Genomic DNA, 15,446 nt, shown 5'->3' on the forward strand with positions numbered 1-15,446 from the left:
GGTAGCTCCTCTCGGTAGGCAGGTTGTCCCATCAAGTGTTAAGCTCTTAGCAGAGAGCAGGCCCTGGAGAGAGCAGCTCCTCTCCGCTACTGGTCCTCCCAACTCCCCTGTAGGTTTCTGAAGCTCTCAGCAGAGAGGGAAGTTTCTCTCTGCAGCCGGCCTTCCTATCATCTCTCCATTCTCTCCGTCCTCTGCCCTGCTCTGGCTGAGCCTGGGATTTTTATGGACATCAGAGGGCAGGAAGTATTTGTTGATTGGTCCATGGGCAGCCGTGGGCCCTGGAAGAGACACCACAAGTCCCCATTCCTTCTGCGGGACCAGCAGCCCAGTCTGAAGATGGGTCCTTACCAGGACCCACCCACTTCAGCCCAGGAACCTGTCTGCCTCCCGCGGCTGCCCATGGCATGCAGGCTGCTGATACCAAAGAGCACATGCAAGCCAGCACCCAGCTTCCCCCAGTTCCCCGACAGATTCCCCTCCCCGCCCTCCTCATACCCAAACTCCGGAGGGAGCCTAGGTAGCAGGGGGCTGGCATGTCTGCACTGCTCCCAGCATGCACACACCAGGCTGGGTTGTGACGGCACCCTGGCTCAGCCCCAACCCCGCTCAGAGATCAGAGCGGGAGCCAAGAGCAGGGAGAGGTCAGGCAGCGGAAGCAGGACCCCTTGCCCTCCCACCCTGCAAGGGCAAGGGGCGCCTTCCCAGGACCCCCAAAAGTGCGTGGATGCCTGTGTCTGCAGCCCAGGTTTGGGTGGCTGGAACAGGGCTCCTGACTGCTCCGTGAAGTGGGATGCCCAGATCAGCAGCCACTCTTTGCTCCTGCCTACTCCATGCTCCCAAGAGCACAGGGGTGCCTGGTTGCAGTTGCAGCTTGAGTGGCTGCAGTTGCACCTGGGGAGCTCCCGCCCCTACACCTTGGAAGGGACAGGTGTCCCTCCTGTCCCTGGCTGTCACTAGCTCAGTGGAACACAGCATCCAGCCACATACCCTAGCAACCTGGGGCAGAGGTTCCAGGTCTTCGCTAGGCCTGGGCCGGCATCTGGGGCGGGGGCAACGTTGCCATAAGATCCCTCTGTGGCCCTGGCGTTCAGGGTCAGCCCAGAGCTACCCCTCGCCGGCCGCGACCTGGCAGGGCCACTTTGCTGCGGCCTTCAGGGTGGTGGGCTGCAGGGCGGGGGGGGTGTCCGCCTCTTCCTTGTATTCTCCCTGCAGCGGCTGGTGTGATGGCAATGGCGGCCCCAGATGGCCCGCCGGGACCAGATGGCCTGAGACTGCCATCAATAATAAAGAAAAAGATATACTATTTTACTTGATTTATGATTTATGTGGTATTTATGCATGTTTGAAATCTACAATTTCTCATTCTAAGTATTCATTTTTGCTGCTAACATTACATTGATAATTTTTAATATTTTTGGAGGTGCCCTAAATTGTATATGTCTCAGTTCACACAAAACATAGACCTACCTCTGCATTCAGCTTTTGATATCATTATATTTATGAAATATTTCTTGTAAAGAAGCAATTAATTAGGTATTCCATATTTATTCTAATAATCTGTGGAACATTTGTTGTTTAGAAGTGATACAAAATCTTTTTTGCTCCCTATCCTGTTTTTCTATCCATTTGTATTTTTGGAATGTATGATTGTTAGCCCATATTTCATTTTTATCTTCTATCTTGTCTGCTATTTTGTCATGCATTGTGTTAGAAATTATAATATTCATAAATACTAGTGTGCAAGTTGAATTAATACCGTTACTACCTTTTAAGAAAATAAAAACAAAAACAGTGCACTTTAATTCTATCCACTTTTCTCTCATTTTGTTATTTTGTTATGCATTTTAATGTCATCTTTTATGAATTTATTAACTATAATAATAAACAATTAGAATACCATTTATTAAGAGTTAGATAATATCTAATTTGCTTATTTTTATGCAACTTGTTTATATTTTAAAACCAGTTGAACAATTTCATGCCTTCTCACATCTCAGACTTTCTATTTTAAAATACTTTTCTCATCTGAGAAGAATGTTTTTAGAATTTTCTTTGATGGGTTTCTGCTAATAGCACACTTAGCTACTTTTTTTTTGTCAAAATTAGTTTGTTTTACCCTCTACTTAAAAAATAAAAGATAAAACCAAAAGCAATGTACTGGACACACAGTTCAAGGTTGGCAGTTACTTTCTTTCATTACATCGAATTATGGCTTATTTTTGCTTTCCATTGTAGCTATTGAAAAATTGGGTGTGCAGTCAAAGAATTTTTAAAAAACCTTCTAGATATTCATTAAATCAGTTAATATAAGTTATTACTATTGAAAATGTTTGAGCCGTCACAATTTCAAGTAATTTCTCTGTTACATTCATTTCTCTTCTCCTTCTAGAACTCTGATCTTACATATCACACTATTCTTCATATCACTCTCATCATTCTAATCTTCATTTCTGTCTCTTTTTTGATAATTACTTTAAACTTTTGTTAAAGTTCAATAATTTTCTATTAAACTCTATTCAATCTCCTAAATCTATCCTTGAGTTTTGATTTCAATTGTGTTTTCCATTCTAGAAATGAAATTTGGTTCCTTTTTTTAAGTATGTTATGTCATTTATTATGTTTCTTGCTCCCTGCCGACATTGTCAATCTTGATTTTTATTTCTTAAAATATATCAGGCATTGTTATTTTGTTGTATTATTTGATAATTCCACTGTTTAAAGTTCTAGTGCTCTATTTATTAATTTGTTACTTCTGCTTATTCTTACTCTACTCTTGTTTACAACGAGGTTTTGTCCACTGTATGATGCTAGGTTTCTTCAGGAAATTATATGTGGAGGATCTCTGTGGCCCAGGATGAGGGTCCCACAGAAGATTTTTAGGTACTTATGGCTCTTAAATCTACTCTGTGATTTGATTTGGGCTTGTAAATGTTCAGAGGCCCAGTTTATATTTCTAACTTCTCTGGGGTTCTACCAATCCTCTACTCTTCTCACAGCCAAAGCAATTATCTTTACTCTTGCCTGGTTGAGGAAGGTAAGTGAACTAAAATTACTCCATAAGAAACTGCTCTGGAGGCCTATAAGGGACTCAGTTGTGGACAAGATAAGTTTAGGTTGTCTATTAACGTTCCAAAGGGGGAAGTCAAGGAGGCAACGGGATATGCCAAAAAGAATTTCACTACAAAGGTCTGGGATGGAGCTATAATATTAGGGATAGAAAAATATAGGTGGTTTTCCTCTGATGAAGTAAATAGGTACAGCCTCCAGGGTAATTTTTTAAAAAGATAAATTAGACCAGGTCATTCTTTTTTTAAAAGTCTCCTCAATCACTTTCTATCAATCAGTAGAGTAGAATCTAAACTCATGAATATAGTTTAGATTCTAGTTTAAAAGACATCGCGTTATTTAGTCCTCATCACCTTTATGGATCTTGTCTCTTTCTACTCTCATATTGGTGAATTAAGCTGGAATTACATTTTTCTTCTCCCTTTTTCCCTATCACACATGAAAGAAAAATGAAATTGGACCCATATACCAATCACAAAAATCAACTCAGTGGATCTGAAACTGTAAAACTCCTAGAAGTAAACATAGGGGTTAAACCTTGTTGACAATAATTTTTCTTAGACATGATAAAAGCACAAGCAATAAAAGCAAAAATAGATAAGTGGGACAACATCAAATTAAGAGACTTCTGCAAGGAAATCATTAACATAATGAAAAGGCAATCTACAGACTAGGAGAAAATATTTGCAAGCCATGTCTCTCGTAAGGGGTTAATATCCAAAATATATAAGGTACTTCTGCAACTCAGTAGCACCCACAAAAAATAACCTGATTAAAAAGCAGGCAAAGGACATCAATAGACATTTCTCTAAAGAAGATATATAAATATTCAACAGATATATGAAGAAATGTTAAATATCATTAATGATCAGAAAAAAATACAACTCAAAGCCACAGTGAGATAGCATGTCATACCTGTCAGGATAAGATCATATTTGTAAAAGTCACAGATGATAGTGAGGAAATGGAGAAATTTGAAGCCAGCTGGCATTGTTGGTGGAATGTAAAGTGGTACAGCCACTGTGGAAACCAATATGAAGGCTCTTCAAAAAATTAAAATAGAATTGTATATGTCTCAGTTCACACAAAACATAGACCTACCTCTGCATTCAGCTTTTGATATCATTATATTTAGCCTGTACCAGGCTATCTAGTACCAGGCTACCATATTATGCAGCAATCTCACTTCTGAGTATCTACCCAAAATAATTGAAATATTGAAGAGTTATATGCATTCCAATGTTCACTGCAGCATTATTCACAATAGTAAGATATGGAAAAAACGCAAATGTCCATTAATTGATGAATTGATTTTTAAAATGTGGAAAACTGAACACAGTGGCTCACACCTGTAATCCTAATATTTTGGAGACTGAGGCTGCAGGATCACTTGAGGTCAGGAGTTTGAGATCAGCCTGGACAACGTAGCCAGATGTGGTGGCATACCCTTGCAGTCCCAGCTACTGGGAGGCTGACGTGAGAGGATCACATAAACCCAGGAGTTCAAGGCTGCAGTGCACTAGGATCACCCCACTGCATTCCAGCATGGGTGACAGAGTAAGACCTCATTTTTAAACAAAAAAAAAAATATGGTACATACATACAATTAAAAATTGTTCAGTCTTTAAAAAGAAAAAAACCCTGCTATTTGTGACAACACAGATGAACCTGAAGAAGCATTATGCTAAGTGAAATAAGCCAATCATAGGACAAATGCTGCATTATTCTACTTATGTGAATTACCTACAATTGTCAAATTCACAGAAGCAGAGAATAGAATGGTGGTTAGCAGGGGCTGCCTGCTAGAGGAAAGGGAAAATGAGGTGGGGAAATGGCAAATTTTTATTCAATTATTTTAAAGTTACAATTATGCAAGATGAATTACTTACAGAGCTGTGCTGTATAGAATAGTGCCTATAGTCAATAATAAGCACATACAACTTTGTTAAGAGGGCAGAGCCTATGTTAAATGTTCTTACCACAAAACAACAATAGAAAGCAAAGGGACACAAGGAAACTTGGAATTGATAGCTATGTCTATTACCTTGATTGTGGTGATGGTTTCATGGTTCAGGCACATACCCAAACTTATTGAATTCTGTATATTAAATATATGTGGATTTTTGCATAGCAATTATGCCTGAAAAAAGAGGTGCCTTTTTACAATTTTGTTTAAAGTTAAGAATAAAAAAACTCAGAAAAGGGTGCTTTTTATTGCTACCATATACTGAGAAGTCTGAATAATAGCAGTGATAAAATACTCTCTCAAAAATCTTTGCTGTCTAAATTGTGAAATTTTGAATAGAGGAATTTGAAGTTCCAAGTTGAAGTTTTAGTGGTTTAGATGAGGGACCTGTGTTTAGATAAATGGCTTTGAATAGCTTGATAATGTCATTAAATAGGACTCATGTGCTAAGTGTAGACAAATAGTAAAGAGTGAGCTATTTTGGGGTTTCTGAATATAGGTATATCAATCAAGGTCCTATCAGGATACAGAAACTACAGTTATTTACACAGGCAAAATTTAATAAAAGATACTATTAACAGAAGATTGGAGTAATGGGGATTGTCTAATAAGAGTGAAAGAGACACAAGAATAAAGAGAGATTACCACCTCTAGGATAGAGATAAAACACCCAAGCAAAGTCCAGCTCTTATCAGGGCTGATATTCAGATGGTATTGAAGTGGGTACTGCTGCAGTTCAGTAGAATATGAAGAGGTTCACTGGGATGCTTTCAAGACTCCCTGAAAATCAATGCTGTGAAGAAGCTCTCCTCAGTGGAGTGTGCACCTGCAGCTCACTGCAAAGCTGCCAGTGTGGATGCTGGAGGAGCCATCCAAAGGCAGGTGCCTCACTGGCAGCACTCCACTACAAGCCCATCCGATGGGAGTGTGTATAAAATGGGAAACTGTTCATGAGTGCCCTGCCCGACTCCCACTCTGCTGTGAAGCCACAGCCACACAAGAAATATATGCCAGAAGCTGTCCAGTACCTGCTGAAAAAAAAAAAAAGCCCAATTTGCAGACACCTGATGAAAGGGCTGCACTGGGTTGAGGAAGAGAAACCCTTTCTTCCTCCAGTGTCTCTCCAGTGCCAGGCTATATGACAAGGGGAAAACACTTGCAGGCTCCAGCTCCACTGCCACAGAGCAGTCAAGGAAAGGTGGATTTTGAGTTCCGAGGCAATAAATTGGTAAATGGCACAGTAGGTAAATAAAATACAACATCTCATTTTCCAAGAATATGTGAGGTAGGTTAGGGAAATTCAAATGAAGTGCATTTTCTCAAAATCTGTTTTATTTTAATAGTGTGTATTAGCACTGTTTTATTACCTTTATGATCGTTGCCTTCTGCATGGAGCTTAATTAATGGAACTTCTAATTATTCAGTCAGCCTCTGTCTCTTCATCCTCGGATACCTGTGTTTGTTTTTTTGAGTAGGAAGAGCCTGATGATTTTAGAATTCTATGAGCTTTCTTCAAGAGGTTCATATTTCCAGCCTATGTGGAACATATTTCTACATTTAAACAATAAATTAGAAACAAAACTATGATGGCACAGTGACTATAAAGATAAAACAAACTCAGGTAATTATATTCTATTATTCTATGCAGCAATTTGGCATTTTTATTGAAGATTAAAACTTAAAACAAGAAAACAGTGTCGCATGTGAGCTGTAATTTTTTAGTGATAATTACAAATTTCATTTTATATATGAAATGCATGTGTTTCATGTTACAATTCTTACCAAAACTGGTATTATAACATGAAACACATGAATTTCATGTATGAAATGAAATTTGTAACCTGGCAAGATGTCTCACCTATGTAATCCCAGCACTTTGGGAGGCCAAAGCAGGCGGATCACCGGAGGTCAGGAGTTTGAGACCAGCCTAGCCAACATGTGAAAACCTCGTCTCTACAAAAATACAAAAATTAGCCAGGCGTGATGGCGGGTGCCTGTAATTCTAGCTACTCGGGAGGCTGAGGTGGAAGAATCGCTTGAACCCAGGAGGCAGAGATTGCAGTGAGCCGATATCACGCCATTGCACTCCAGCCTGCGTGACTGAACGAGACTCTGTATCCAAAAAAAAAAAAGTGATCTTCTCTGAATGTCAAATGCCCTGCTATCCTGCAGAGAGTAGCCATATTTTGCCAAGCAGATCAATTTCCATTAATTAGATATCTGAATGTAAGAGACATTAAAAAAAGTGTGTGTAAAGGGATAAACAGCGGTTACAGAGTGTTGTGCTGGAGCTAACTTGTAGTGATTTATAAGATTCAATTTCCAAATTTTCAGAACTTGCAGAACAGTCAACATCAGTTTGGTAGTTTATAATAGGTCATGATGGAAATACAGCACAACAGCTGGCAGATGTTACAAATCGGAGTATTGTTTTGTTTTTTCTTTCACATCCGTAACAACAGAAACAAGTCGTGAAATCCATTTTAAGTGGATGGTATCTTTTTCACATTCCCAACCTAAAGATGAAGTTTCGAATATATTTTAAAATGGTTTTGAAATAGTAAGCTAAAAGTATGAGGAATTTAAATGAGAATCCCTGATTTTCTTTCTTTCTTAAACAGTTTCAAATAATCAGATAAGCCTCTAAACCATCTAGATATTAAATAAGATTCACATGCTAAAGGTGGTGACTAAGATATAGTAATGTATCATCAGGTTTCTGAGTACAGAGAATTAGCAAAGTGAAATGGAAATTTTGCTGAAAAGGATAGTTGAGAATAGGGGTTGGAAACAGATGGGAATATGCCAATAGTCTATTTTTTCAAATACTGTAATTAGCAGGAGTTCAAAACGTTCAAATGGCAATGTAATTACCACCAATCCAGTGTTAAGGTAGCAAACCAGGGAGGATTACAACATATTATATAAAATCTAGAAACTTTAAGAGTATCAAGTTATGTATATCCAACTACTTATATTCATGGACAAAAGAAATACACATTAATGATTCTGTGGGGATGCATCATTGCATCCATCATTACTATTTTAGTATTGGTAAAGAACCAAACAATTTGTTCTAAGATGTGCTGACTATTTAGCAGACTTTGTGATGGAAACACTTGCCATCTTCTCTAACACACTTCTACCATACAAAGTATACTTACTGTGCCCAAAATGTGGTCACATACTTCTTTGTCAGCTCTCAGTAGACAAAGCAAAGGTTTATCTAGTGCAATTTTTTTCTCCTTGCCTTGCGATTTTTTTTCCTACTCCATTGAGCTCTCAAATTAAAAGTTCTCGAATTATCCTATGGTATGTTGTCCTCCATCTCTGTACTTGGCTGGAAATTATCTTGCTAAGACATTCTAATGGTTGGAAAATGCACGTGAATAAATAAAATGAATAAAAAAATCTACTAAGTGGCACCAGAGAATAATTGTATCATTACTAATTTTGAAACATGAAGGAGGTTTTTGTTTTCCTTTTACTCCCACTTCTCCTTTAGTTTTTGCACAACGTTTTGTCATATTTAGCCTATATATTTTATATGACTACCCTATACACAAAAAGGGTATTTAATTAAGGAGCAAATCATATAATACAAAATTATTACACATAATATTTTTAAATGAAGAAGCACTATTAATCCTGCTATTAGAATTGAATTTCAAATCAAATAAATAAAATCAATGTCTATGTAGACTTGTAAATTCTAAGGAGCTAAGTTCTTTTTTTTCTAGTATAAGGACATAGTTTTGTAATTATCAATTATTGAAAGTTTAGGGATTTTTAAAGTAGGATAAGAAAAGTGAGTCAGTCATCGAATCAATAATCACTTATTGAATAGCTGTTATATAACTGGGGTTCATATGTGTGTGTATGTCTGTGTGTGTGTCTATACACACACATATATATGTAAGATTATATAATATATATACTATATGACACAGGGATGGTGAGATGAATGAAAAATGTTGGAAGAACTTACACTCTAGTGTGATAGTTTTGAAACCAGACAGCAGACTAAAATCACTCAGAAAGCTTCAAAAATACTGAGACCTTGGACCAAAGCAACTAAATCAGTTTCTTCGGTAGTAAGGTAGCAGAAACAGAATGCTCTCTAGGTTATGCTGATTAGTTGCCAATATCGAGAATAATTGGTTTGGTGGCTTTTAAATAGATGCTTGCTATTCAAATTGTCTTGTTGCCACCACTGAAAGTGTCAATATTTTTGTTTTTGCTTTTAAAATTTACTCTTGTATTATAACCTTAAAGCTGTATAGTTATCCACTGACTTAAAAGCAACAACAACTCTTCTTTTAGTGTGTTTTTCAGCACACTAGCTACTTAGTAACCTGTTTACAGGATAACCAAACTTTAACGTACAAGCTCAAATTATTGGGATGTGATTTATCGGTTAATTTACACAGATATTTTACTAAAAGATAAATCATCTTAAATGACAGTTTTAATATTTTATTAAATGTTTTCTTTTAGTCTTAGAAAAGGAACTTCATTCTATTGCCTAGAAGTGGGTAATACACTTGTATGCTTTTACTCCCTGAGTTTTGGAATAAATCATCCCTAATACGCTTTGGTAGCTAAGGAAACAAGGACATCTTTAGTTCCCATCTTCTCACTGAGCCTAAATGAGACCACCAGGCAGTCCTCTGACATGTCCCCAGCTCAGTGTTGCTGAAACCACTGTTTGTGTTACCAGGACCCGTGCGAGCTCTTAGTAAAACATGGTAGGTATAGAAAGTGAGAATAAGGGTGTAGTGACATCACAGTTTTGGAGAATAATTTGTGTTTATTGAATCTACTGTGGTTTTTTTTTATTACTATACTTTAAGTTCTGGGATACATGCGCAGAATGTGCAGGTTTGTTACATAGGTATACATGTGCCACGGTGGTTTGCTGTACCCATCATCCCATCATCTAGGTTTTAAGCCTGCATGCATTAGATATTTGTCCTAATGCTATCCCTCCCCTTACCCCCATCCCTGACAGGCCCTGGTGTGTGATGTTCCCCTCCCTGTGTCCATGTGTTCTCATTGCTCAACTCCCACTTATGAGTGAGAACATGTGGTGTTTGGTTTTCTGTTCCTGTGTTAGTTTGCTGAGAATAATGGTTTCCACCTTCATAGTGAAACTTATATTTTATAATTCTTTTTTTCACTTTGTATTTTAGTAATTTTTGTAATTGTGTTTTATTTTAAAAAATCTGGCTGGGTGTGGTGGCTCACGCCTGTAATCCCAGCACTTTGAGAGGCTGAGGCGGGCAGATCACGATGTCAGGAGTTCGAGACCAGCCTGGCCAACATAGTGAAACACAGTCTCTACCAAAGATACAAAAAATTGGCCAGGCGGGGTGGCGTGCACCTGTAATCCCAGCTACTTGAGAGGCTAAGGCAGAAGAATCGCTTGAACCCAGGAGGCGGAGTTTGCAGTGAGCTGAGATCGTGCCATCGAACTCCAGCCTGAGCAACAAGGGGAGACTATGACTCAATAAATAAATGAATAAATAAATAAAATAAATAAATAAATAAGTAAATCTGTCTGCCATGGGTTAAAATAAATCGAACTAGTCCTTTGCCGGTGATGGGATGACAAGTCTTTCCCAGGCCACACTCACATGTGTATTGTTTGGCCTTTCTATAATGTGAACATGGTCTCTAGGAAGAAAATTTGTGCTTATCCAAGATTTACCTAGAAAGATTCTATTGCTTCATTAATGGATAAGAAAGAAGGGCTAATACAAAGAGCTTCACAAGCAACATAGAGGAAGAAAAAAGAAATAAGTAATAATTAGAGGAAAATAAGGAAGAAACAGATACAAACAAGAATGGGAATAGAGGGAAAAGAGAAGAAGAGAGATTAAGGTATAAAGAGTAAACAACATATTTTTTTCTAGATGAAGTTCATCTAAGTATTGTATGAAATAAGTGTTCACAACCCTATGAGAGCAGCAAATGCAGTTTTTTTTTAAAAGAAGTTGGTGCAATGTAGCCAAAATTTTATAGCCCATAAATAGTTTATGTATTAACTAAACTTGAAATAAACAACATTGCATTAAAAGTAGAGACTGTTTGGACTTACACTGTTTATTGTTCCTATGGTGTTTATTTTAAATGACTATAAACATTTGTTAAGAACTATAAACATTTTGGAATTTAAAATGATAGGAGATATATTTGACATAGAGTAGGTGTCTCAAAAGAATAGGGATCCAAATAACAGTCAGGATGTTCTAAAAGTATTCAGTCTCAGTTACTCGAGATGGATACATTGTGGAGATCTACTGTACAGCATAGTGTCATACTTAACAATACTTTCATGAGTACTTAATTAGCTAAGTGAGTAGATCTTATGCTAAGTGTTCATACTAGTAATCAATTAATAAATAGAAATAAAAAGAGTGGGAGTAAACTTTTGGAAGTGATATATTTATGGCTGTGACCATGCTGATGATTTCATGGGGGTATACTTACTTCTAACACATCAAGTTGTGCATATTAAATATGTACAGTTTTTTTGCATCTCAACCACACCTTCATAAAGTGGGTTTAAAAATGAATAAATTTGAAACTAATGTGTTGAGGAGTGTGATTTTAACTACTTGATAATATAAATAAGATAATTTGTTATCTTTGTTTGGAGCACAATTTAGGCAGCATGATTCTATTTTAAATGAGGCCTTTCTTTTTCGTTAAAATCAGAGTACTTTGGCTTTATTTTGTAATAACAAGAAGAGAACAAAGATGAGGAGCAGTAAATGTTTTTCAAAGCTAATCAGTTTGAGGCCTTTTTTTTCTTTTTCTTTAGTTCTGAATTGTTTTCTCTAAAGACAATGGAAATTGTAATACTTAATTTGTCATATTCTAAAAAAAAAAAAAAAGCATGAATGCCAAGAAGTAAGTACTACCTGCATCTACAGTCACGTTTTAGCATTTCAATTTGTATGAGAGGTGGGACGAATACTGAAGATGTCACATTAACGATAATGACAATTTAAATTCAGTAATTCTTGCACAGGCAAACTGATGTGCAGGTTATTGTACAAACTAAAATTCTATTATTCTACAGTTTGCTTAATAATTAGCCTTTCTTCTTATTGTTTCATTTTTTGAAATACAAAAGTCCTCTTACTTAGTAATTACAGAATAAAACAGTAACTTTCTATGTACATTGCCATTTTCATGACATATTTGGTCATCCTTTCTGGAACATATCCCATGTTTCTTACACCTTCTCTTATTGCAATTCTTTTCAAGGAATAGAAAATATGCTATTTTTTTCAGAAAAAAATTTAAAAAACTTTCTTCCAATATGTAATATTTTCTGATCCTCCATTCCCCATTACAATCCCACTTGTTTGTTACCCTATTTGCCTCATTATTAAGGTAGTCACATATTGCATCAAGAAAATAAGTCATTCATTTCCAAACAATGCACTGTCTACACCAATACATTTAAAATTAGATGCAATTCCTGATCTAAGTATGTTTAGGAGTAATGAAAAAATTTTAAGCCAAGAGACAAAATAGAAATAGCTTTAGAGATAGTTTATTGGTTTCGATTATTCATTACTGCACTATATAATCAATTATAGAAAACTTCTGAAATCTAGATAATATTCAGGAAACTATTTCTATAAAATGCCAATTTGCACAGAAGAGTAAGACAGACAATTATAGAGTACTTCAAAAAATATAATTTTTGAGAAATTTTAGGTATATGAAATGGCATAATAACTTGTATAATTACAAGGTAGAGACAAGCTAACTAGGAGTTCTTTGAGTAAATTTCTCTAGTCCTTAATTCTTTACATTTTCCTTTTTTAGGTATATTCTATAGTCAGCAGTATCCTGGTGACTCATAAGAGAAGATTCAGCCAAGCTCGGTGGCTCCCGCCTATAATCCTAGTACTTTGGGAGGCCAAGGCGGGTGGATTGCCTGAGCTCAGGAGTTTGAGACCCAGCCTGGGCAACATGATGAAACCCCGTCTCTACTAAAACACACACACAAAAACAAGTAGCCGGGATTGGGGCGTGCTACTCAGGAGGCTGAGGCAGGTGAATCGCTTGAATCCACCAGGTGGAGATTGCAGTGAGCCGAGATCACGCCAATGCACTCCAGCCTGGGAGACAGAGCAAGATTCCGTCTCAAAACAAAAACAAAAACAAAAACAAAAAACAGAAACAAAAGAAGACTCATAAAACAAACTTTCAGTTCTGCTAATAAATTCAAGGGACTGGAATTACTACTTGTTGAACATCACCATACTATTTTGTCCTCAATTTATCTTGATTGAGAGATATGGTCTTTAAGGAAACATGCTTTAGTTATTTGGGAAGATTCTTCAGCAGCTCAGTGTTTGCTATGAAGCTTCTATACTCGCCATGCCTGTATTCTTTCTAAATAATTGAAAACAGTAATGGGTTTTGATATGGTTTGGCTCTTCGTTCCCACTCAAATCTCACCTTGAATTGTAATAATCCCCACGTGTCAAGGGTAGGAGCAGGTGGAGATAATTGAATCATTGGGGTGGTTTCCTCCATGCTGTTCTCTTGATAGCGATTGAGTTATCCTGTGAGCTAATGGTTTTGTAAGGGGCTTCCCCCTTCACTCAGCACTCATTCTCTCTGCCGCCACACTGTGAAGAGGTGCCTTTTGCCATGATTCTAAGTTTCCTGAGGCCTCCCCAGCCATGCAGAACTGTGAGTCAATTCAACGTCTTTCCTGTATAAATTACCCAGTCTTGGGTATTTCTTCATAGCGGTGAGAAACTAAACCTATTTTAGTTAATAAGATCGAACTAAAGTAGGTTTCAATAAATATGTTTCTTTAAAATGAGTCATGACTAGCTGTAAACAATGACTTTTTTGGCATGGCATTCTTTTTGTGAAATATTATATAATTTGGTAAGATTTCTATTGATTTTTAATTTGTTGCCTTTCTTTTAGTACTTGTCTTCACCTTTAATTTTTCTTAATAAATGCGGAATTGAAATGAGCTAAATTATTCAGACACTTTGGGATCAACATCTATTTCATTGTTCATCTCAGTTAGTTGCATCAGGACTATCGCATATCTTCATTCTCCTATGACATGTCTTAAAACAATTTGATTTCTAACTCATTTTGTTAACTGTAATGAATTCCTTTTTTTGGATATGCTAATAATTTCCCTTAAAGCAGTAACTGATACAACAAAATCTTTTGTCTTCTCTCTCATCCCAATTAAAGTGTATATGTTTCCTTTTCTGAGGAAGATTGCTAAGTGTTATTGAATACTTCTTTTTCCTCTTCGTTTTTCTAGGAAAGTAGTGCTATGCTGTGATTTTACTAAAGTTTAACTGAGCAGAATTGACTTAATTATATATAATGGGACTTAGTTGTGTTTTTTTCTCTGACGTATTTTCACTTTCTTGAAATCTGGAAGAGATTTTTCTCTGATTATATCCAGAGTGTGAAGAGAAATGAATTTAAAAATTCATTTTGGAAAGTAGAAATGAAGACTGAAGGCTTATTCTGCAAGTTTTCCTGAAATACCAAAAATAGAAATGTAGTTGCCAATTAACTGGGCTAAGAAATTATATTTTTACATAGTTGCTAGTCATGATCAAAATTATAATATTAGTTGTTGTCTACCATTTTAGATTGTCTTTAGTAAGGTAATTTTAGATAAATGTGAACTTATTTACAATGTCCTTCAGAAATACTAGTAACTTTTATTTAAGAATAAAAGTTTACTTTAATCACTTGGTTTAGATGGTATCTTCCAGTTTTATATAATGTGAAGCTAGTATTTTTCCTTTTGTAATGAATAAATGTTTCATGGGGAGATATTTTGAGACTATGAAAATATCTTTTTTCTCCTAGAATCACTCTCTTTAGACACTATCATTTATTCTTGCCTAATTAACTTACTTCTGTGATAGTTTCCAAACGGTGATTTTCTACTTTCATCATTAAATTTATGTATAACAGTTTTATTCTGTTTTAAAAAAGGATTTTTAATTCCTAATTATGTATTCATTTTTGTCACAGGTACTTATAGACTTTAATTGTATTCTGTAGGTAATAATCTATTATTCTTACCATTGCTGGGCAAATATATATTGTATGACTCCATGTATGTTGTCTGACAAAGATATAACATCACTCCAGTAATATTCCTGCCAAAAACATACCACAAATTTAATCATGAGCAAACACCAGACAAACAAAATCTGAGAGATATTCTACAAAATGAATGATCTCTTCAAAAATATGATAATAAAAGATTAAGAAAAAAGAAAATAATTTTGTGAGGTGAGGAATATGTTAACTAAACTTGATTGTGATCATCGTTTAATGACGCACATGTATACCAAGCCATCAAGTTGGACACCTTATGTATACAATTTTT

The sequence above is a fragment of the Homo sapiens genome, chromosome 7 (genome assembly GCF_000001405.40).
Source record: "Homo sapiens chromosome 7, GRCh38.p14 Primary Assembly".
Lineage (NCBI taxonomy): Eukaryota > Metazoa > Chordata > Mammalia > Primates > Hominidae > Homo > Homo sapiens.